The sequence below is a fragment of the Homo sapiens genome, chromosome 22, assembly GCF_000001405.40.
Source record: "Homo sapiens chromosome 22, GRCh38.p14 Primary Assembly".
NCBI lineage: Eukaryota > Metazoa > Chordata > Mammalia > Primates > Hominidae > Homo > Homo sapiens.
The window spans coordinates 18,525,889-18,548,909 of NC_000022.11; the positions used below are offsets into that span (position 1 = coordinate 18,525,889).

Here is a 23,021-nt window from a genome sequence, read left to right on the forward strand (position 1 = left end):
GGCCAGCCTCTTTTACTATTTTTTTTTTTTTTTTTTTAAGATGGAGGCTCACACTGTTGCCCAGGCTGGAGTGCGGTGGCACGATCTCGGCTCACTGCAACCTCCGCCTCCTGGTTTTATGCGATTCTCCTGCCTCAGCCTCCTGAGTAGCTGGGATTATAGGCCACCATGCCCAGCTAATTTTTTGTATTTTTAGTAGAGGTGGGGTTTTACCATGTTGGCCAGGCTGGTCTCAAACTCCAGACCTCAGGTGATCCACCCACCTTGGCCTCCCAAAGTGCTGGGATTACAGGTGTGAACCACTGTGCTTGGCCTTTACTACTACATTTTTTTTTTTTTTTGAGATGGAGCCTCCCTCTGTCACCAGGCTGGAGTGCAGTGGTGCAATCTCGGCTCACTGTAACCTCTGCCTCTCGGGTTCGATTCCCCTGCCTCGGCCTCCCGAGTAGCTGGGACTACAGGCAAGCACCACCATACCCGGCTAACTTTTTTTTTTGTATTTTTAGTAAAGACAAGATTTCACCATCTTGGCCAAGCTGGTCTTGAACTCCTGATCTCATGATCCACCCGCCTCGGCCTCCCAAAGTGCTGGGATTACAGGCGTGAGCCACCGTGCCCGGCCGTCTACTACTTCTTAAAGGGTGAGAGGCGGAAGGATCACTTGAGCCCTGAAGTGTGCGACTGCAGTTAGCTTTTATCGTACCACTGCACTCCAGCCAGGGTGACAGCAGGACCCTGACTCTAAAAAAAAAAAAAAAAAGCAAAAAAAAGCATATACTATTAATACTTCCTCCTTACTATAATGTTTACTGTGGCCTTTATCAGACTAGAGAGTGCTTTTATCTCTCCCTTTTGTTAGAGCTTTTAGAATTATCAATAGATGGTCAGGTGAGGTGGCTCAGGCCTGTAATCCCAGCACTTTGGGAGGCCGAGGTGGGTGGATCACGAGGTCAGGAGTTGAAGACCAGCTTGGCCAAGATGGTGAAACCCTGTCTCTACTAAAAATACAAAAAAATTAGCTGGGCGTGGTGGCGAGTGCCTGTAATGCCAGCTACTCTGGAGGCTGGGGCAGAGAATTGCTTGAACCCAGTAGGCGGAGGTTGCAGTGAGCCAAGATTGTGCCACTGCACTCCAGCCTGGGCAACAGAATGAGACTCTGTCTCAGAAAAAAAAAAAATTATTAATAGATGGTGACCCTCATCTTCATGTTTTCTGCATCTATTGAAGTGCGCCATTGAGATCGTGGAGTTCTTCCCTGTTTGTCCATATGGTGAACAACACTGATTTTCTGATGTTGAACAATCTCTGGAATAAACTCTGTTTGGTTTCCATGGATTTCTGTTTCCCTTTAGATTTTGTTAGTAATGTATTTTGGATTTTTGCATCCAAGTTCATAATTGTAACTGGACAAATAAAGGCAGATTTTAAAAGGACAAGTTGGGAGGCTAAGGCGGAAGGATCACTTGAGCCTGGGAGATTGAAGCTGCAGCTAGCCTCGATTGCTCCACTGTACTCCAGCCTGGTGACAGCAGGACCTGCCTCTAAAATAATAATACTTAAAAGGACGAGTTTACCTACAGTCTCACCAAGCAATGAAAGAGCTTATCTTCCTCCTGTTTCCTTTACGGATCTTGCTCATGTATTTTATCTTAGTTACTTTAGCATAAATGCTAAATCAAATTCTTTTTCACTAGACATCATCATAGCTCTAGGCATACCACATAATACCCAAGCACATTTTAATCATTAAAATTGTTTCCTTTTTTTGTGGCTACTGTAACCACTTCAGCGAACCATTTAGTGTGTAGTGGGTTTAAATTATTTTTTCTCCTTTCTGGGATAAATTTCCCAGGAGAAGGATAATTGGGTCAAAAGCTACGAACATATTTATGGGTTCTTTTCCACAAGAGATCGATCAGTTTGCAAGTGCCATCTGCAGTGTGGGGGAACCAATCTTCAACTTGCCTGCATTTGGTATTAGTATTTTATTAACCTTTCATTGATCCAATTACGGCTCTTTGACACAATTTTCATCAGTGATGGACTAAGTGTGATCCGGCCTGACCCGCCTCCGGCCGGCGTGAGAAGGGGCATGTGTCGGGCTACGCTCGGGCTTCCCCTGCCGCCCATTGTGATCCAGCCCGCTAGGCGCTCCCTGCCGCCCATTGTGACGCCTGCCAGCCGCAGGCTGGGTCCCCGAGGCGGGCGGCATTTAGGCTCGGTCTCCACAGCCATGGCCGCGACGCAGGAGCTGCTGCTGCAGTTGCAGAAGGATAACCGAGATGGTCGCCAGCGGAAGCAGGAGCTAGAGAAGCTGATGCGCGGGCTCGAGGCCGAGAGCGAGAGCCTCAACCAGCGCCTGCAGGACCTGAGCGAGCGGGAGCGGAGGTGCGCGGGGAACGCCGCTCTTCTACCTGGCGGGCGCGCGAGGGTCGGTCCCGCAGGCAGCGCCGCGAGGTGCTTCGCAGAGTACCAGGCTGATCCGCCCGGGCCCGCATCTCTGCTCTAGGCCCTTGGGAACGGGTGATCCACCCAGCGGACCCAGGTGGGGGACTCGGCCAGGACTTCCCAGTCCTCAATCATGAGCCTGCGGCTGGTCCTTCCTGGCGACTGCGGGATCCTGAGCGACCCAGTCCGCCTTGTAGCGCCAACCTCAGTTTCCCTCTGCAGCCTGCTGCGGAGGCGAAGCCAGGCAGCGCAGCCTCTGCAAGGGGAGGCGCGCGAGGCGGCGCGGGAGCGCGCGGAGCGGGTGCGCAGAAGACTGGAGGAGGCGGAGCGCCACAAGGAGGACTTGGTGAGGAAGAGTCCTAGAATGGGGCTGGACCCAGGGTGGGGTGAGGCAGGGCGGGCGGAAGGGGGCGGGATCCGGGGGTGGGGTGAGGTAGGACCGGCGGAGAGGTCGGCACCGCCCCAGGACCCCGTCCGCAGGAGCAGCACAGCAGGCAGCTGCAGGAGCAGTGGGAGGAGCTGTCGAGTCAGGTACGTGCAGGAGATGGGAGGGCCTGTCTCTTGGTTCCTCTCGGAAGTCCTGCCCTTGTCCTCGCCCTTGTTGTCTCCCCGTCCCTGTCTCCCCTGACACTCGTTCCTCCAGAAGCCCGGTAAACCCCGCCCTTACAAGCCCCGCCCCTAGCTCTTCTACGGAGGGGAACCGCAGAGCCAGAAGAGCACGGAGCAGCAACTCGCAGCCCAATTGGTGACGCTGCAGGTGCTTGAGCGGGACCCTGAGGTCTTTAGTAGGGGCGGAGCAGCAGCGTGAGCGGGGCCGTGACCACCTGGGGGTGTGGCTTAAGGCAGGCCCTGAAGGCGTGGGCGGGGCGGGGGATGTGGGCGGAGCACAATCGCATGGGGGCGGGGCTCTGAGGGCTAGAATAGGGGCGGAGCGCGGAGGGGGCGTGGCCATGACCAGTTGGGGCGTTGCTTACGACTGGTCCTGAGGACGCGGGCGGGGTCATGATCGCCTGGGGGCGGGCACTGAGGGCCGGGGGCGGGGCCCGGAGGCGCAGCGGGTTGCCGGCCTGCGGACCTCCTGACATTCCCTGGGTCCTTCTCAAGAATGAACTGGAGCTGGCGGAGACCAAATGCGCCTTGCAGGAGGAGAAGCTGCAGCAGGTGAGGGCAGAAGCGGGTTCTGTTGGAGGAGGGTAGGCTTTCGAGTGTGGATGGGGAAGGGCCTGTCGCCCCGACGCCGCCGAGTCTAACCCGGGTGTCCACACCCAGGACGCGCTGCAGACAGCGGAGGCCTGGGCCATATTCCAGGAGCAGACCGTAGTCCTGCAGGTGCGGCCCCACTCAGACGCCAAGGTGCCTCCCGCCTCTCCTCCCCCAGACCTGGGGCGGTAAGTCTCCCAACCCACCGCCAGGACGCCTCCCCGAGGCCTCAGTCCGCACTCTCACCCGCTCCAGGAGGTGCAGGTGAAGGTGATGGAGGCTGCGGAGGAGCTGGACGCCTGGCAGAGTGGCCGGGAACTGTAAGGGAGTTGGGCCTGCGGGCGCGGCGGGGCACTGTGGGGCCGGGCTGGGCTCCCACCTGCATGCCTGTCCCCGCAGGTGTGACGGGCAGCTTCGCGGAGTGCAGTACAGCACCGAGTCGCTCATGGAGGAGATGGCCAGGGCGGACCGAGTGAGCGCCTGCGCGGGTCCGGGCGGGGTGGGCTGGAGCGGGACAACCCTCCCCGTCCCCCCCGCGGTACCGCCTCCCCCTCCTCCTGGAAACCGGGCCGGCGCCGCGGGCGCGGAGGTAGCTGGATGCGGCCCTCTCTCCCCGCAGGAGACGCGGCTGTTCGGCGGCCCTCGCGCGCTGGCCATCAGGTGAGCCGGGCGGTGGGCGCGGCCGCGGTCCCCCACCTGCCCGCCTTTCGCCCCGCAGGCGGTGCGTGCTGGGCGCGCTGCAGGTGCTGCTGACGCTGCCGCTCCTCTTCCTGGGGCTGTCGCTGCTCTGGACGGTGCTGTTGGACCCCGGCGCCGTCTCCGCGTGGCTCTGGAGCCTCACCTCGGAGACGACGCTGCGCCGCCTGCGCTACACGCTGTCCCCGCTGCTGGAGCTGCGCGCTAACGGGCTGCTGCCAACCTAAGTGCAGCGCCCCGCGCCTGGCTCCAGGTGGACTCCAGGGCACCTGGCTTTATTTCTGGTGCACTCCTCTCCTGAGAGTGTAGACCAAGGTTGCCTAATAAACTCAAGGGATGAAGCTCGTGGGTTCGTCGTCTGTCTCCCATGTCATGTAGGAGCTTGACTGGCTTTTCAGCCTCCAAAGATTCCTTCCTTCCTTACAGCTCATGGATTTAGAGCCACTCCCCAGTATTGTAAACAGCATTTTTAGTTTTTCAGGATACATAATTTGCCATATTGCCAGAAACTTGTACATAGCATTTGACACTTTGCCAATCTGACAAGCTGCCTTTTCAAGTATTGTGATTTGAAATTATTTCTACTATATTTGAATTTATTTCTACCATTTGTAACATGTTGATCCTGATTTTTCAATGCTCCCCTTTCCTTCTGTTTATTTGGGAAGTCACACTCTGTATTCTGGTATTCTTACTACTTGAGCTCAGCTCATCGCTGTCATCTTCCCCTAAACCGCCTTAAAGCATCTTAGGTCTTTTCCCTCTGATCACATGTGCTACTTTTTTTTTTCTTTTCTTTGGAGACGGAGTCTTGCTCTGCGCCCAGGATGGAGTGCAGTGGCATGATCTCGGCTCACTGCAAGCTCTGCCTCCCGGGTTCCAGCGATTCTCCTGCCTCAGCCTCCCAAGTAGCTGGGACTTCAGACGCCCGCCATCATGCCCGTTTAATTTTTTGTATTTTTTGTAGAGACAGAGTTTCACTGTGTTAGCCAGGATGGTCTCGATCTCCTGACCTCGTGATCCGCCCACCTTGGCCTCCCCAAAGTGCTGGGATTACAGGCATGAGCCACCGTGCCTGGCCAACATTTTCTCCAGATATCTTACTGAGTCCTAATTTCCACTGTGGCCAGAGAATACACTCTGCATGATTTTAATTCTATCTCATTTACTGAGACTTGTTTTGTGGCCCAGCACAAAGCTTGTAATGAACACTGAGAAGAAAGTGTATTGTTGCTGTTGACAGAGTGATTTTTTTTTTTTGAGACGGAGTCTCGCTCTGTCGCCAGGCTGGAGTACAGTGGTGTGCAATCTCGGCTCACTCCAACCTCCACCTACTAGGTTCAAGTGATTGTCCTGCCTCAGCCTCCTGAGTAGCTGGGACTACAGATGCATTCCACCATGCCCAGCTAATTTTTGTATTTTTAGCAGAGACAGGGTTTCACCGTGTTGGCCAGGATGGTCTTGATCTCTTGACATTGTGATCCGCCTGGCTTGGCCTCCCGAAGTGCTGGGATTACAGGCATGAGCCACCGTGCCAGGCCGACAGAGTGTGTTCTAAATACCCAGCAGGTCCAGGTGAGTGACAGGCTTGTTCAGGGCTCCTGTGTTTACTTTCTTGTTGGTAGCGCCGTCAATTGCTTATTGTGAAATGCCCCTTCATAAACACCCATACACATTTTGATTATGGATGGCCAGTCTTTTTTCTATCTGTTATTTTCATCTTACATCTGTCTTCATATGTAAAGTGCTTTGGTTATAATCAGCACATAACTGGGTCTCACTTCTTCAATTCATGTTTGTAATCCCTGACTTTTAAATTGGGCTGGTAAGTCTATTATGTTTCTCCTTTTCTGCCTTCTTTTGGATTAGTATCTTTTAAAACTCCTTTTAACTTATACGCTGACTCATATTTTTTATTAAGACAGTCTCACTCTGTCATCCAGTGTGGAGTGCAATGGTGTGATCTTGGCTCACTGCAACCTCCACCTCCCGGGCTCAAGCGATCCACCTCAGCTTCCTGAGTAGCTGGGACTACGGGCTTGTGCCACCATGCCCGGATAATTGTTGTATTTTTTGTAGAGATGGGGTCTTGCCATGTTGCTCAGGCTGTTTTCAAACTGCTGGACTCCAGCAATCCACCCACCTCAGCCTCCGAAAGTGCTGGGATTACACATGTGAGCCACTGTGCCCAGCCTATATTTTTATTTGTACTGCTCAGGACTCAACTGTGCTTCCTAAAGCTGAATATTTGTGTTTTTCAACTCTGGAAATCCCATTAGAAGTTGATTGGGGCCGGGCACGGTGGCTCCAATCTCAGCACTTTGGGAGGCCGAGGCGAGCAGATCACCTGAAGCCAGGAGTTCAAGATCAGCCTGGCCAACATGACGAAACCCCTTCTCTTCTAAAAGTACAAAAATTAATTAGCTGGGTGTGGTGGCGTGCAGCTGAAATCCCAGCTACTTAGGAGGCTGAGGTAGGAGAATTGCTTGAACCTGGGAGACAGGTTGCAGTGAGCAGAGATCACGCCACTGCACTCCAGCCTGGGCGACAGAGTGAGACTCCGACTAAAAAAAAAAGAAAAAGTTGACTGGAGCTTTTCATTCAACTCTTCTTTTTTTTTTTTTTTTTGACCGTTACCCAGGCTGGACTGCAGTGGTACCATCATAGCTCACTGGAGTCTTGCTCTTCGGCTCCAGTGATCCTATCTTTCTTACCCTCCTGAGTAGCTGGGACTACAGGCATGCACCACCATGTGGCTAATTTTAAATTTTTTTGTAGAGACAGGGTCTTCCCGTGTTGCTTATGCTGGTGTTGAACTCCTGGACTCAAGCAATCCTCCTGCTTTGGCCTGCTGAAGTGCTGGGATTAGGAGCCACCCCGCTTGGCTTTCCTTTCCTTCACACTGCATGTTTGGTCATTTCACTATTCTGATCACTGATTTTCTCTTCTTACCTGCTGCTGTTTAGCTGATCTTTTGGAGTTTCTCTTTTGTTTCAGGTCTTTATTCCTATCTGCTTCAGATGCAGGGCCTCGGTGGGTGGGAGTAGATGCTTGCTGGGTCTAGTCACACAAAGATTTTGGAGTTCCAGAGCACAGCACTTGAAAACAAGCAAGAGGGAAAGACTAGAGCAGTGGGAAGATGCTGCGGAGAGCCACAGACAGGCCCCCACGGCAGCCCTGAGGGAGACAGTTTTGGAGCGGGCAGACAGCAGTCAGGACAAACACAATGTGTGTTTTGGTGCACCTATGCCGTGGTGAGATTATGGGAATCTCATGTTTGTTAAGCCACAACCCGTGCTCCTGGGCCCCAGCCTATGAGTGCAGCCAACACTGGGCCCCCCTCTCTAGGGGCAAATCCAGGAACTGCCCTTTGGCTGAAGGTGGACTTAGGACTTGACACAAAACCTCACAGATTCCAACACAGCACTATTTTGGGTTTTTATTTTGTTGATGTTGGTTAAATCTTATCTCTTTTTTTATACACAATACTTCATGTACCTATGAAATAAAACAGGTAGGGAATATGTCCAGTGCAAACAGAGGACTCACACCTGTGCATAGACAGCACCATCCACTGATTGTCGCTGCAGTCCACGGCGTTACTAAGCCTGCGCCACCCACGTGCTGCCCCAGGAGGCGCTACCAGGCTCTTCGGGCCACAGGCCTCTCCTCCACTGCATGTGGCGGCAGGGCGGGTAGGTCGCAGGGCTCCATGATTGTGGGGCAGCTTCAAGGGCACATGGGGCAGAGGCCCTCGAAGGTCCCCTCCTCAGTAGGGGATGTCATTCTGATAGTACTGGATCATGTTGTAGGTCCGGCTCCTGAAAGGCCAAGAAGAGTGAAGGGAGATTCGAGGAGCCAGCAGGGTCTGGGGTCCCTCCCTGCAGGGAGCCCTACCTGTCCAATCAGCCCCTTATGGCTGCCCAGCACCTGAAGGTACAAATGTCCCAGGCGTGCCCTCCCCCACCCAGTGACCACATCTGCTCCAACCCGGGGGACTCTGAGGCCACCTCATGCTCCTCAGCCAAACCGCTTCCATCCGTGGGAGCCACTGCTCTGCCCCATGGGCCTCGGGCCCCTTGGCTCGTCCTGGCCAGATGCCTCCAAGGGGTCTGTACGCTCTCCTCGCACCTCTGGAGAGCCCCTTCTCGCCCTGCCCCAGCCCCTCTTGAGGTCCTGGCCGCCTGGCTTCTCTGCTTCCTATCAGCAAGAGCTCCTTCCGTGCCCAGCCTCCACAGTGCCCTTGTTAGGGTGACGGACCTGGGCGCCACCTGGGGGCAGGTCTCAGCTTCCTCTCACGCTCCTCCGGCAGTTCCCCATGCAGATGGCCACACCTGGGCCCCTCCTCCTAGTCTGGATGTGGTCTGTCCCATGGCACAGCCTTGGGCTCCCACATGCCCCTCAGGGCCTTACCAACCCCACATGTTTAAGTGCTGCCCCCTTCGGGGATGGCTCACTTGCTGGGATCGCCATCCTCCCTTTGTTCAGGCCGGACCCCTCAAAGCCACCTCTGACTCCCACAGCAGGGAGCCTGTCAGCCCGGTGCTCTGCCTTCAGACCCTGAGCCAGCCCTCCCCAGGGCCCCCTGCACCCATCTCCTCCCACCACAGTAGTGACCAGCAGCCCGGCCTGCACCTCCAGTCACTGCCCACGAAGCAGCCCGAGGCAGGCGCAGGGAAGGAGTGGGCTCTGACTCCTCAGCCCTCCTGGGAGGAGGGAGGCCTGACACCACACTCAGTTCTAATACTCCTGGCCTTGTGTCCCTATTGCTCCTTCGGCCTCACGAGCCCTGCCCAGGTGGGCCCGGCCTCTGCCAAGTGTTCCCCTCGGCACACCACAGCCCCCTAAACCAGCACCCCACTGCTCCTCAAGAGTTCCTGTCAAGACTTGGGTCTTCATGAGAGGGGCGGCTTGGGGACAGCAGAATCCTCATCGCCTGGTGCAGGCAAGGCCCTGCAGGTGCCCAGTGGCCACCGAGGCAGTGGGAGAAGGCAGGGGGGCGGGGCACTCACCTGTTGCTGAGGAAGCAGCTCTGGATGACCTTCATGATGAAATTTGCAGCCTCGCGCTCAGTCATGTTGGGGCTAAACCTGTGCCTGGAGAAGAGGCTGTGTCAGGGCTGCCATGGGCAGGGCCGTGCTGGCTCCCTGGCCCAGTGGGAGGAGGGTCTTCCATGGGGACGGACTTCAGCTGAGAGCCATGCCCTGGAAATGTACCTTTGGGGTCCACATGTTGGAAGATGGGGTGCTGTGAAGGCCACACCTGGCCTATCATGGGCCCTGTCCCCTTCCCAGCATCACCTGAGTGGCCCCATGGCATTAGGGGACTAAGCATTGGGGAGCTAAGCTACTGCAGCCCCAGACCTTAGGGTGGAGGTGGGGTGGGCGTAGCATCCTTGACATAAATAGAGGCCCCTGGGTGGGTCTCTGGTGTGGCCGGCACAAGCAGGGGCCCCTCACAGTTGTGGTCTAGGGGTAGAGCCTCACCTAGGAACCCTGTCTGCTCTGAGGTTCCAAGGAGATGACAACCACAGTGACAATTACATGAAAGGTACCTATCTTGGATGGAGCCTCAGCTAATGGACAACTGTCCCCCAGATGGCCTGCGTGTCCACCAAGGAACCTACTTCAAGAACTTGATTGTCTGGCCGCGAAAACAGGGCAGGCCCGTGTCCAACATGATAGTGACCAGGGAGACGACCACATCCATGTAGGGCCTGGGGAGAGACAGGAGGGAGCGGTGGGCAGAGGCCAGCCTAGGTGGTGGCCCTGCCTGTAGTCCTGTGGACTGGCTGATGCCAACAGCCTCAGGTGTGGGCTCCTGCCACCCACCTCGCCTGCCACATCTTGCACATCCCCGAGGCAACTTTCGATCTGCTGCACTCGGTCACCCGTACTGCCCAGGCAAGGGCTGCCCATACGCACTCTGGACAGGCTGAGTGTCCTGCCCTGTCCCCCACATAAGGCTGCCGGCCATGGCTTCTGCACCTGGGTGGGATGCAGACACGCTGACCTGCCTTTCTCTGCGGGGCAGTGGGGATGAACCCAGGTTGGACTGTGGCCTTGGCCAAGTGACCTGTATATGAAACTGGGACAAAGCCCATCTTTGGCACGTAGCCTGTGGGGTGGCAGGTGCTCAGGCTTTGGTGACAGGGTGGATGGGATGCCCAGAAAGGGAGAGCCCATGGCTGAAGGCGTGGGCAGGATTGTGGGGAAGGTGGTTGGAATTAGATGCCCAGAGCAAGAATTTACTGGCACAGGTGGGCAGACAGAGGTGACCAAAGGACAGGTGTAGGTCAGCAGGTGGCTGCTAGCACCTACCTCACTCTCTGGAACCGGATTCCCTTCATCCTAAAGGGGATCTCAGAACGTTCCACACACCCCCTCCGCCTCCACCCTGGTCCTCACCCAGGCTCACCGCACAGCCAGGTAGCCTGGACACACATCTCCATGAACCACTTGAAGGGTGTGGCCTCCATCTTGCCCCCCATGATCATCACCATCTCATCCGTCAGCTTGATGTCGGGTTCCCAGCCGAGATTGCCGCCCGGCGAGCTTTCAAACATGAAGCCAAAGTCTGCAAAACCCCAAAGAGCTGCCTGTGACTGGGTAGGAGCCAGGGCGGGCAAGGACGAGTGGTCTGTTTTGAGGAGTGGAAAAGGACTCTGCAACAGGAGCACCCCCTCCACCCCCAAAAGGCAGGTTGTGTTTTCTTGGAGACAGTGATGGGGTGGGTGGTGGGGCAGCAGGCAGAGAAAGAGAAGGGAGGAAGTGGAGGAAGGAGCCAAGCTGGGGCACTGAACCTGGACGAGCCCCACTCCGCCCAGCTCCAGCTTCTGACTCAGAGCAATGGCGGCTCTCGCCCCAGCTCCCTGGGGCCGGGGCCAGGCACCCTCTACAGCAGAACAGCTTGGTGGCCGACAGTTCGGACCTCAGAGCTGGACCCTGACACTCCTGGCAGGGTGGTCCTGGGCATTCTCCTCTCTGTGGGGTGGGGATCCCTATCCACCCCTGGGTGCCGGGGTGAAGGGAGAGGAGGGTGGCGCTGTGGCTGGCTGACCGATGTGGATGATATGGCCCTTCTTGTCCAGCATAATGTTGCCGTTGTGTCTGTCCTTGATCTGCAGCAGGAACAGCAGGAGGCTGTAGGCGGCCATGCTTCGGATGAAGTTGTAGCAGGCCTGTGCAGAGAGCGCCCTGGGCTCAAAAAGGCCCTGGGGCCTGTGGGCATTCTCCCTGGTCCCACACCCAGGATCCCTGGGCCTGTGGGCACTCTCCCTGGCTCTGTGCCCCCACTATGGAGGCAGAGCCCGAATCAGCAAGTCAGTCTTCGGCAGCAGGAGTGACGGGCTGTCTGGATGTGGGGGTGCAGGCACTTCCTCCCACACTCAGAACTTAACTTTCTTCTAAGGAGTCCAGCCCAGCTCTACATTCTTTTGACTCCCAAAGTGGCTTACAGATGCCCTGGTGTTTTTTTTTTTAAATGGAGTCTCGCTCTGTCGCCAGGCTGGAGTGCAGTGGCATGATCTTGGCTCACTGCAACCTCTGCCTCCTGGGTTCAAGAGATTCTCCTGCCTCAGCCTCCCGAGTAGCTGGGACTACAGGTGCCCACCACCATGCCCAGTTAATTTTTTTACTTTTAGTAGAGATGGGGTTTCACCATGTTGGTCGGGATGGTCTCGATCTCTTGACCTCATGATCTGCCCGCCTTGGCCTCCCAAAGTGCTGGCATTACAGGCGTGAGCACTGCGCCCGGCCAGGTGCCCTGGTTTTTTTTTTTTTTTTTTTTTTCAGATGGAGTCTCACTCTGTTGCCCAGGCTGGAGTGCAGTGGTGCAATCTCGGCTCACAGCAACCTCTGCCTCCTGGGTTCAAGCGATTCTCCTGCCTCAGCTTCCTGAGTAGCTGGGACTGCAGGCGCGTGCCACTATGCCCAGCTAATTTTTGTATTTTTAGTAGAGACAGCGTTCACCATTTTGGCCAGGATGGTTTTGATCTCTTGACCTCGTGATCTGCCCGCCTCGGCCTCCCAAAGTGCTAGGATTACAGGCGTGAGCCACCGTGCCCAGCCCAGGTGCCCTGGTTTTAACCCTTAACAAAGGATGACTGAGGAGAGCAGGGTGTGGGTAGAGGCTGGGTATGGGTGGCTGGGGTAGGGTGGAGCGCACACGACTTTCCCCGGCCTGTGGCCACCCTGGCTACCTGCTGGAAGGCCAGAGTGGACTCATCCCCGTACTGGCGTGTGAAGTAGTCGTACATGCCAAAGTCTGTCTGGCGGCCCAGCTGGTCCCGGGAGGTGCAGTCGGGGATGCACTCGATCACCCCGCACTAGGAGGAAAGGCCAGTTCTGAGGCCCGCCGGGTGCGAGGTGCCCAGGGCTGCCCTACTGGCTCCACTCAGGGAACTTACCCCAGGGGCAGTGGCCACCACGCGGTAGGGAAAAACAAAGAGGTCCAGGCCGACCAGCTGGAAGATGTTCTTGAAGAGGTCGATGATCTGCAGGGCCAGCATGTCCTGGGAAGCCGGGAGGCGCAGGATGCGGTCAGTTGGCGTCCTTGCACCCCAGTAGCTCTTCTGGCTCATGCAGGGCAAAAGCCGAGAACCCAGAGATGGAGTGAGGTGGGGAGACCACAGCCGAGCAAGAGTCTGGAAGGCCTTCCTTTCTGACCACCGGGGGCTGGACTCAGGCTGCTGGGACCACCAGGCCCTGGGCTGAGCATGAGGCTGAGCTGTCTGGTGGGGTGTGTGAGATAAGGCACCCAACCCCTGGACAGTTCCCTCAGGTGGGCACTGGCATGGCAGGGACAGTGGGAAAGGGGCTGGAAGGAGAGGCCTCTGGGTTTTGCAGAAGCCCTAATTTACCCCGTGGCACCTGAACCATGTAAGAGAAGGAAAAGATTCACATTTCTGCATATGAGATTGGACTCTGGTGGGCCTGGAGCCTTGGGGAGCAGCAAGCCCAGTCCCCAAGCCTACTTGAGGCCTGACCCTGCTTACCTGCCGGCAGTCGTCTCCCAGTTTGAAGATGGCTGCCTGCCAGGAGATCTTCTGGCCGTCGGCCTCCTGCGTGCTGCACTCATCCTCAGAGTCTGAGCGGCACCGCAGACCTGCCCGCAGGGAGAGAGGCCACTGTTAGCCTGTAGGCAGTGAGAAGCCCTCTGAGGGGGCCAGGGATGAGTCCTCTCACATGCCTGAAAGGAACCCCAGCAATCTTGGGGATCACTTCTTCAAAACCCCAAGGAGGCCAAGGAGGAGCCCAGCAGGGCCCAAGGAAAGCCTTGGAACAGCAGGTGGAATCCAGGGTTGGAGTCTAAGAACATTTAGGCTTAAATGGAACTAAAAACAGAGCCCCATTTCATCTGCAGTGAAGACCCAGGTGTGCCTGAGTCAGTGTTGGGTGCTGTGAGCTGGGGGGCAGGAGGAATGTGTCTGTACACTGGGGTCCTGGGAGGGCTCGGGGCCAGTGTGCAGACATGGCCATGGGAGGCAGGTCCCTGCAAGGGGTGGCAGCCCCCTCTCCACAGCTGGCCACACCGTCTGTACTGGGTTGAAGAGTGTCTCCCTAAAATTCATGTTCACCCCAAACCTTAGAATGTGTCCTTATTTGGAAACAGGGTCTTTGCAGATGTAATTAGGTTAAGACAAGGTCACAGTGGATTAGGACAGTCCCTAATCCAATGACTGATGTCCTTCAAGGGAGATCATCATGTGAAGAGGGAGGCGGAGATGGGAGTGGAGCATCTGCAGGCCAAGGTGAGCCCAGGACTGCTGGCAACACCACCAGAAGCTGAGGAGGCAAGGTGTGACCTGCCCAGAGCCTTCAGAGGGGGCACGACCCTGATGATGGACTCCAGCCTCCAGAACTGAGATCGTCCGTACAGTAGCCCCAGGAAACTAACACCCCCCAACGGCCCCGGGCCCCTCAGCCTCAGGAAGGAGCCTGCTGGAGCATGCCAGCTGACTCATGGCAGACAGACCTCTGGGGTGGCACATCTGTCAGTGCATTTGAGCTCCCTGCCATCCCCTAGCGAGGGGTCTGACTGAGGGCAGACAGATGGACAGACATCATCTTTTATGGAGAGCTGTACTAAATTTAACACATGCCAGAAGAAACTGGCATTAGCAAGGAAAAGCACTGAGCTCCCAAACAAAATCAGGGTTCTTTACTGACCTTCTTTTTCAAGTTCACTAACTCCACATCGCTTCACCTTGAACTTGGCCAGATATGGGGCTTTTGCAGCACTGAAAACAACAAAAAGAATGTGGCACCCATGATGCAGCCGAGAAAAACTTCACACGCGGACGCTGTGGAAGCGGGGGATGGGTAGGGTGAGGCGCTCACCTCTACATCGGGGTCCCAGACTTGTAGTCGACGTCCAGCACAATGGCTTCAGGGTTGCTGGGCAGGGAGCAGCCTGTGCAGGGACAGAGGCAGTCACAGGGAGTGCATGTGTCACCACAGGTGAGCCAGAGTCAGTTTCCAACACGGATGTTACGTGCGTGTCCACCCTGCAGGCACACCCCACCCCTGTGGAGGGGCCTCTGGTCCTTGTCCAGGGCACCACTAACTTATTATTCTGTGGCCGCTAAGGGTCCGTCCTCCTTGACTCTTCGACTCTTCCAACCATCGACCAAATGAGTCTGCACCTTCTGGGAAATGCTCTTCCTAGAGGAGCACTGAGCCCCATCCTCACGGATACAGCCCTACTGCTTCTGGGGGTGTGTGTGAGGCCTGTCCTGCCTCCACCTGCCTGAGCAACAGCCTCTGAACAGCCCTCCATTCTTGGAGTCCCTGTTTTTTTTTTTTTTTTTTTTTTTTTGGATAGAGTCTCACTCTATCACCCAGGCTGGAGTGCAGTGGTGCGATCTTGGCTCACTGCAACCTCCGCCTCCCAGGTTCAAGCAATTCTTCTGCCTCAGCCTCCTGAGTAGCTGGGATTATAGGTGCCTGCCACCATGCCTGGCTAATTTTTATATTTTTAGTAGAGATGGAGTTTCGCCATGTTGGCCAGGCTGGTCTCAAACTCCTGACCTCAAGTGATCCACCCGTCTTGGTCTCCCAAGTGCTGGGATTACAGGTGTGAGCCACCACGCCCGGCCTTCCTTACCCATTTGAACACTACTCTCTCAAAAGCCTTACTTAAATGTCACTATGTCCATGAACTGTCCTTGGTTCTCCCAGCCTTTAGGACTTTTGTCTAACACGTTTCTTTTTTTCTTTTTCTTTTTGAGACGGAGTCCTACTCTGTCGCCCAGGCTGGAGTGCAGTGGCTCGGTCTCGGCTCACTGCAACCTACGCCTCCCAGGTTCAAGCGATTCTCCTGCCTCAGCCTCCCGAGTAGCTGGAATTACAGGCGCCCGCCACCGCGCCTGGCTAATTTGTGTACTTTTAGTTGAGATGGGGTTTCACCAAGTTGGCCAGGCTGGTCTGGAACTCCTTACCTCAGGTGATCCACCCGCCTTGGCCTCCCAAAGTGCTGGGATTAAGGCATGAGCCACCGTGCCAGGCCAACATTGTTTCTTTATGCTTATTTTATATCTCTGTGAGTTCAAGCTTCTTCAGCTCAGGGACCATGTCTTACTCATCTTTTTAACAGCCACAATACCCAATGTCATGCCTTTTCTTTTCTTGTTTTTGCTTTTTTGAGACAGAGTCTCACTCTGTCACCCAGGCTGGAGTTCAGTGGTGCGATCTCGGCTCACTGCAACCTCCACCTCCTGGGTTCAAGTGATTCTTGTTCTCAGCCTCCCAAGTAGCTGGGATTACAGGCACGCGTCACCATGCCTGGTTAATTTTTTTTTTTTGAGACCGAGTGTCGCACTGTCATCCAGGCTGGAGTGCAGTGGCGCAATCTTGGCTCACTGCAAGCTCTGCCTCCCGGGTTCACGCCATTCTCCTGCCTCAGCCTCTCGAGTAGCTGGGACTACAGGCGCCCGCCACCACACCCGGCTGATTTTTTGTATTTTTGGTAGAGACGGGGTTTCACCGTGTTAGCCAGGATGGTCTTGATCTCCTGACCTCAGGTGATCCACCTGCCTTGACCTCCCAAAGTGCTGGGATTACAGGCATGAGCCACCGCGCCCGGCCCAGGCTCCCCTTTCTCAGTGAGTGCTCAGTAAATGTGTGAAATAAGAGGACAAGGGAAAGCCTGTTTCTGGCCAAGGAACTGCCAGTCCCCAAGGGGGATGTGTGCTCCTTGAGCCCTGAGAGGTGGGCTTTGAGGGGAGCCAAGCTTGGCCTTGCTGTGGGGTACAGGGAGAGGGGGGCATGCCATCTCCTCCTCTTCCTCACCTGCCCTTCTGCCTGCTCCAGGCTGTGGCTCACACTCAGGCCCCTCTGTGCTCTCCTGCTAGAGCCCTGCTGGCTTCCCTGACCTCTGGGGCAAGACTCAGCCAACACAATCTAGAGCCAGGGGCTGGGGACTTCTGTGCATGCCCCCTGCAGTACAATGCTTCCAGCTCTTTTTGCCCCTCCCCAGCAGTTGTGGCCTTCCCAATGCGGGAACAGAGGCCCTGCATACATGTCCTGCCCTCTCTGGGAAGCCGTGCTGTTGTGTGAGCTCAATACAATGTGTTGGGAAGAAATGGTTAAACCGGGGTCCTGCAGGGCACTCAAGGACCAGCCGCTGTGAACATCTGCACGGGACAGACAGAGTTTGGAAGACAAGTTTGTGCCAATAGTTAGAAATGCAGAGAGAGGCCGGGCACAGTGGCTCATGCCTGTAATCCTAGCACTTTGGGAGGCCGAGGCGAGAGGATCACAAGGTCAGGAGATTGAGGCCATCCTGGCTAACACGGTGAAACCCTGACTCTACTAAAAATACAAAAAAATTAGCCGGGTGTGGTGGCGGGCGCCTGTAGTCCCAGCTACTCGGGAGGCTGAGGCGACAGAGCAAGACTCCATCGCAAAAAAAAAAAAAAAGAAATGGAGAGAGAGCTGCCCAGTGAAGTCTGGATTTCCATCTTCTCTTGAAAAGCTCGGCTTGAATTCCCATGTGGCCACAGCCACAGGCACCCAGGAGCGACTTCCCATGGAGGCGGTGAGGGGGTGGTGCTGATGGGTCCCAGCACACCTGAGCCCTCCCACACTGGGCCCGCCATCCCCTTGTCTGTGTGACCTGCTCCTGTAATGCTGGAGCCTAGGAACCCTCTTCTAGAGTAACAGCTACTGAGGTCAGTGTGAGCCTCCAGAAAAACAGCAGGCAGCAAGGAAGATGAAGGGCACCCACTGACGAGCAGCTCCCGCTCACTAGCGGCAGATTTTGGGGAGGGGCTGGGGTCCTGGGGCACCAGGCACCGTGGGCCCAAGCAGGTGTGGGGCTGGCCAAGCCACTGTGTCCACATCCTGCAGTGCCTGGAGAGGGCAGCAGCCTTCACGCCCCGCCGCCCGCCTGCAGGAAGAGGTTGGTCTGAGCCTCCAGAAGCCACCTGCTCACCTGGCTGCACCGTCACTTCAGACAGGGCCGACAGACAAGCCTTCTTTCTCTGGTCGCCTTTAGGGTAGGGCCTGAGAAACAGGAAAGAAATTCTTGCTTTGTCTCCTGGAGGAACTGGCTACTGGGGGACAGCCCAGGGCCCCTCCTGCCTGGATTGCCCTCTCTGTCCCTCTCTTCCCGGCTCTAGCTGCTCCTAGCGCAGCCAGGCACCACTGGCAGCGATTCTTGCCCTGCATTCCTCATGGAGAATCCCCGACAGCCCCGGAAGGGCTGTTTTCTGGCAGGCTCTGCCCCTGCTGTGTGCGGGGGTGTGTGGCTGGGGGTGGTGGGGGTAATAATGCCTGCCACCTGCTGCCACCCAGGAAACGCTAGCTCCCGTCCTTCATCTCTTGGGTTAGAAGCTGCCAGCACTGCTATTCTCAGCACCCAGCCCAGAAAAGGGCCTCAAAGTGACCAAGGTCAGAGCAGTGTACGCAATGGAGACAGCCCAGCCGGCGTGCCCAGCATTGATGACTCCAGGGTTTCATCCCTTATGAATGCACAAAGCCACCAACATCCAAGGATGGTGTCAGGTCCACATGAATGGAAGGTCTAGGAAAACGATGACAGGAGCTGCAAAGGCAGTCTGGTTTTCCTGACACCAAGAGGATCGATCCTTCAGAGTGTGGAGAGGGCAGGGTGACCTCAAATTGTGGAGCCATGTGCTAAATTCCACAAATCTCAGGAATGAAACTAAGCTGTGTTTCCTGAAACTGGCGTGGCCGTGCATTCTGCCATACCTTCAAGAGCCCTGACTCACCCCAAGCAGTGCTTCCCCACCCACCCTGGCTGTCCATCAGAACCACCAGCAGCCCCGCTGCTAGAGACTCTCATTCATCTGGTTGGGGCCACGCACGGGTATTTTTAAAGCTTCCCAGGCAATTCTGTTAAGCTGCAGGGACTGGAACAAGATTCCAGAAGGTGGTTTCCGAAGCACTGCACTTACTTGATGACAGCCGACACGTTGGTGATCTTGTTAAAGAAATCAAACTCCCGCTGGTAAAAGTCCTTCGCTGGGCCCGACAAGGAGCCTGTGTTCTCCTCTACTAACTGCTCCCGGAGGTCGCCGATGTCAGCTGCCAAGGAAACAAAGAGGCTGAGTCTCTGTGGCTGTGGCAGAGGCCCCTCAGGAATACCAGCCCTGTTTCCCAGGCCCCAGACTGGCGGTGCCCAGAGTATGCTCTGCAGGCTTGGTGAGACCATAACAGCTGCTGTGTGCCCCTTTTGCTGTGTTGACACAGCCGACACTGCTGGGAAGCTAAGCTGGTGCCTAAGCGGAGCTCAAGGTAGGGGCCAAGCGCACAAGTGGACGTGGAATCCTCACTGCTGCACACGCTACACACGCAGGAAGAAAAAAGCCCGTGTCATTTATGAATGTCACAGGGCATAGAATCCTCACTGCTGCACACGCAGGGAGAAAAAAGCCCGTGTCATTTATGAATGTCACAGGTGAAGCAATGAAAACTAATTCTTATTAAACTCTACCCTGAATACATGTCTTTTTTTTTTTTTTTAATAGAGGCACACAGTGGGCGGGGCTCTATATTAAATAGTGTCTCTCACTATTCAAATCCCAGGCTGAATTTAAATTCCTGGGCTCAAGAGATCCTCCTGTCTCAGTCACCTGAGTTGCTGGGACTACAGCTAGTAGGTGGGACTACAGGTGCGCATCACCACATCTGGCTTTTAAAGTATCCTTTGTGATGAAACGGGATGTGCACGAAGCACTCTTGCCGCATCTAAGGCAGGCGCTGTCCTGAGAAGCACCTGGAGCTTGTCTGATTTTGGAGCCTGGACTAACCTTTTTCACAGACCTTTGTTTTTACTTGAAGAAATGACTGACAGACAACATATAGCTATTCAGACTTAGGGATGTGGCAGATGTTTTCCTGAAAATGAACAAAAAATAAATCTTCCACTCAAAGGAACTGAAACATTTTTTTGGAAAACTTGGATCTGCTGCTGTGAGCTCAATAGCTTCCCTTAAAAACTCTTTCTGGGCCGGGCGCGGTGGCTCATGCCTGTAATCTCAGCACTTCAGGAGGCTGAGGCGGGCGGATCAGAAGGTCTCAGCCAGGCAATGTGGCCCACACCTGTAATCCCAGCACTTTAGGAGGCCGAGGTGGGCGGATCAGAAGGTCTCAGCCAGGCAATGTGGCCCACACCTGTAATCCCAGCACTTTAGGAGGCTGAGGCGGGCGGATCAGAAGGTCAGGAGTTTGAGACCAGCCTGGCCAACATGGTGAAGCCCCGTCTCTACTAAAAAATAAAAAAATTGGCCGGGCACGGTGGCTCATGCCTGTAATCCTGGCAATTTGGGAGGCTGAGGTGGGCGGATCACGAGGTCAGGAGATTGAGACCATCCTGGCTAACACAGTGAAACCCCATCTCTACTAAAAATACAAAAAATTAGCCGGGTGTGGTAGCGAGCGCCTGTAGTCTCAGCTACTCGGGAGGCTGAAGCAGGAGAATGGTGTGAACCCGGGAGGCGGAGCTTGCAGTGAGCGGAGACTGCGCCACTGCATTCCAGCCTGGGCGACAGAGCGAGACTCCGTCTCAAAAAAAAAAAATTTAAAAAAAAGTCCGGGTGCGGTGGCTCACGCCTGTAATACCAGCACTTTGGGAGGCCAAGGCGGGCGGATCACGAGGTCAGGAGGTCGAGACCATCCTGGCTAACACGGTGAAACCCCGTCTCTACTAAAAAAATACAAAAAATTAGGCGGGCGTGGTGGCGGGCGCCTGTAGTCCCAGCTACTTGGGAGGCTGAGGCAGGAGAATGGCATGTACCCGGGAGGCAGAGGTTGCAGTGAGCCGAGATTGTGCCACTGCACTCCAGCCTGGGCGACAGAGTGAGACTGTCTCTCAAAAAAAAAAGAAAGCCCTCTCTCGTCTCTCAGTCTGTGCTTAGTAATCAGCTAGGCGCTGAGAGAACAGGGCATGGCCTCCTTACAGAGGTTTGCTGCTTCTTTGCGTGGCATGTTTTCATTTGGCATTCCCTTCCCTGGAATGCTCTGCCCTGTCCACCCTGCATGCCGGTGCAGCCTTTCAGACTCAGCTCAACTGTCTCTTTTCCAGAAAACCATCTCTGATTCCCCAACTCTGGATGGGCCAAGTGTCTGTACCGGAGGACTGCTCCCACAGTTCCCTCAAATTGAAATCACCTGTCCATTTGACTGCCTCCTACAAGACAACAACAGACCATACCCCAGTCATGTAGGTGTGCACCAGCCTCAGCCCAATCCTGGGCCGTCAGCTGCTCAGAGGGGTGTGTGAACGCAGCTGGTGCCAGTGCAGGGAAAGTGCGGTGAGTGGAGTCTGCTCAGCTGCCTCGGGTGCGTGTTTATGCTTCTCAGCTCAGGCCAGAGGAGAAGCAGAGCCAGGCATGCACCGGCCTCCAATGACCGTGCAACACAGTCAAGGCCAGGGCTCAGGGGGGTCTAACTGCTTTTCCGTCCCTACCTCTGGCACCCTCAGGGCTGCCCACGTTGCACCCCTGTCCTGCCTGCCTCCACCATGAGCAGCTGCACTGTTGAGGGTTACCTGGGGGAACAAGCTGGCTGGCGGTCAGGTACTTCTTATCTGAGAACATGGCGGTCCAAAATTTAATCATGATGCTTATGTCTTCACGCAGCCGCTTCTCTCCTTGAGTAGGAAACTTTGGGGGACAGCTTCAAACAACCATAAGAGGACAACGGCTGAGTGTCTGGAGTCAGGGACTAGAGGCCAGTCACACAAAGCAGTGAGAAGGTGATGCAGACAATTTCTTAATGACAAAAGGTCAGCCCAAAGCCAGTCATTAGCAAGGATGATCTGGCCCATTCCCATGGGAAGGTGTGGTGGCTCGGGAGCCCTCTTATGCCCTCCTCCCTCACTGCCCACAGCAGCCCCTACAGCTTTCCACTGAAGCTGCACTTGTGGCAGATCAGGGCAAGGAAGCTGCACTCACACAACAGCACAGCCTATGGGTGCAGAGCCCCAGGCAGTGGGTGTTTGCAATTCTTCGTGCAATAAGCCTTCACATTAACAGGGAAATTAAATGGACGCACTTAATCTCCTAAATCAGTTGAACTGAGGGAAAATTTGCCTACATCTCGCTGGGAGGCTAGCTCTAAGTACACGGGACACATGCACAGGGCTGAAGGGTATTTAAATCCACAGGGCCAGGGATACTGAAGGAGGAGGTTGGTGAGCACAACTGGGCAACTGTGTATTCCTGTGAGTGACTTCCTGGGGGTCTGGGGCGATGGAGCACTTGGAGGGGCTGGGCCGTCCCTGGATGCCGCACAGCACATCTTGGGGGAGTACCTGAAGTAGTCAAAGGCAGTGGAGTAGATCTTCTCGCGAAGCACATTGCGGATGGTTGCATTTGGAACCACATCGGCATGCAGGAGGGACAGCCCCAGGGTCAGCAGCCTGTGAGGGAGCCCCGGACCCGGTCAGAGCAGGAGCCTGGCCTGGGGCCAAGTTCACCTTATGGACTCTCTTCCCTGCCCTTCCAGGAGCAGCTCACTGAAATGTGTTCCCCGTCTACAGAAGTACCGTGATACACAGACGCCCCATGACACACTGTACACACCAGGGGCCCTGTGCTCCCCAGGAAGAGGGCCCTCACTTGAAGCGGGGCCCGATGGCCGCCACATGCCGGTTCATGCTCCCCTTGGCCCCACCGATGTTCAGGGACATGGAGCGCTGCAGCAGGCTGGAGAAGATCTCCACTTGGTCAGAGCTGCAGTACTTGGCGATCTCAAACCGCTGCACCAGGAACTGAGCGAAAAGAGGAAGACGCTGTGGTGGTGGGGCTGAGCCGGGCTAACCCTGGGGCCGGCAGAGACAGCTGAGGAGGGGTTCTGGGCTGACTGGCCGAGCTTGCCGAAGGCCTTGGGCTCGGCTACCCCCACCCCAGGAACAGTCCTGGCCCCCCAGGTGGAGCACCCCACAGCCTTGGTCGGGGAACAGGCACGTACGTCGATCCAGATGTAGTGGGGGGTCACTTCGGGGGGACAGGGTTTGGGTTGACTTGCTTCCGAGGCAGCCAGGGGGTCTGCTTCCTTTATCTCAGCAGAAAACAGGCCAAATTTCTGCTCCACTGTCATGTGCCAGCCCCTGCCATCTCCCGCATGAACTACAGGTACAGAAGGAATGTTAGCTCCTCTGTGAAACACAAAAAGGGGCTACTGTCAAGTTTTCTCTAATTAAAAAAAGGA

General features: G+C 55.7%; 1 protein-coding gene and 1 pseudogene across 4 annotated transcripts, besides 2 other annotated features; one reads left to right on the forward strand and one right to left on the reverse strand.

Moving 5' to 3' along the window:
• Positions 1,654–2,234: an enhancer, noted in NCBI's record as "H3K27ac-H3K4me1 hESC enhancer chr22:20377409-20377989 (GRCh37/hg19 assembly coordinates)". NCBI's record gives its function as "activates a minimal SCP1, AML or CMV promoter by ChIP-STARR-seq in primed H9 embryonic stem cells {active_cell/tissue: H9 hESC(primed)}" and the evidence as "EXISTENCE:reporter gene assay evidence [ECO:0000049][PMID:30033119]".
• Positions 1,914–4,685, forward strand: TMEM191B (transmembrane protein 191B). 3 transcript variants are annotated; one of them, XM_011546160.4, is made up of 10 exons: positions 1,914–2,388; positions 2,671–2,794; positions 2,929–2,979; positions 3,131–3,205; positions 3,553–3,609; positions 3,718–3,777; positions 3,904–3,968; positions 4,048–4,120; positions 4,268–4,308; positions 4,367–4,685. In XM_011546160.4, exons 1-10 carry the CDS (start codon positions 2,093–2,095, stop codon positions 4,569–4,571), a joined length of 1,047 nt encoding a protein of 348 aa, XP_011544462.1. In that variant the 5' UTR covers positions 1,914–2,092; the 3' UTR covers positions 4,572–4,685. The 3 variants fall into 3 exon arrangements, 2 of the variants coding, with proteins under 2 accessions (XP_011544462.1, NP_001229242.1); NM_001242313.1 differs by lacking the exon at positions 3,904–3,968 and having other exon boundaries at positions 3,718–3,836; XR_951236.3 differs by lacking the exons at positions 3,904–3,968; positions 4,367–4,685 and having other exon boundaries at positions 4,268–4,294.
• Positions 2,661–2,710: a silencer, noted in NCBI's record as "silent region_13450". NCBI's record gives its function as "represses an Ori minimal core promoter by ATAC-STARR-seq in GM12878 lymphoblastoid cells {active_cell/tissue: GM12878}" and the evidence as "EXISTENCE:reporter gene assay evidence [ECO:0000049][PMID:35858748]".
• Positions 4,686–7,975: 3,290 nt separating the features above from the next.
• Positions 7,976–22,940, reverse strand: PI4KAP1 (phosphatidylinositol 4-kinase alpha pseudogene 1; annotated as a pseudogene). Its single transcript, NR_003563.1, has 15 exons — positions 22,782–22,940; positions 22,430–22,581; positions 22,123–22,230; positions 21,358–21,485; positions 18,764–18,893; positions 17,779–17,849; positions 14,685–14,757; positions 14,514–14,584; positions 13,340–13,449; positions 12,752–12,856; positions 12,545–12,670; positions 10,762–11,524; positions 9,971–10,060; positions 9,357–9,440; positions 7,976–8,165 (listed from the first exon to the last, which is right to left on the reverse strand). The product of NR_003563.1 is annotated as a phosphatidylinositol 4-kinase alpha pseudogene 1 (transcript).
• Positions 22,941–23,021: the final 81 nt, after the last annotated feature.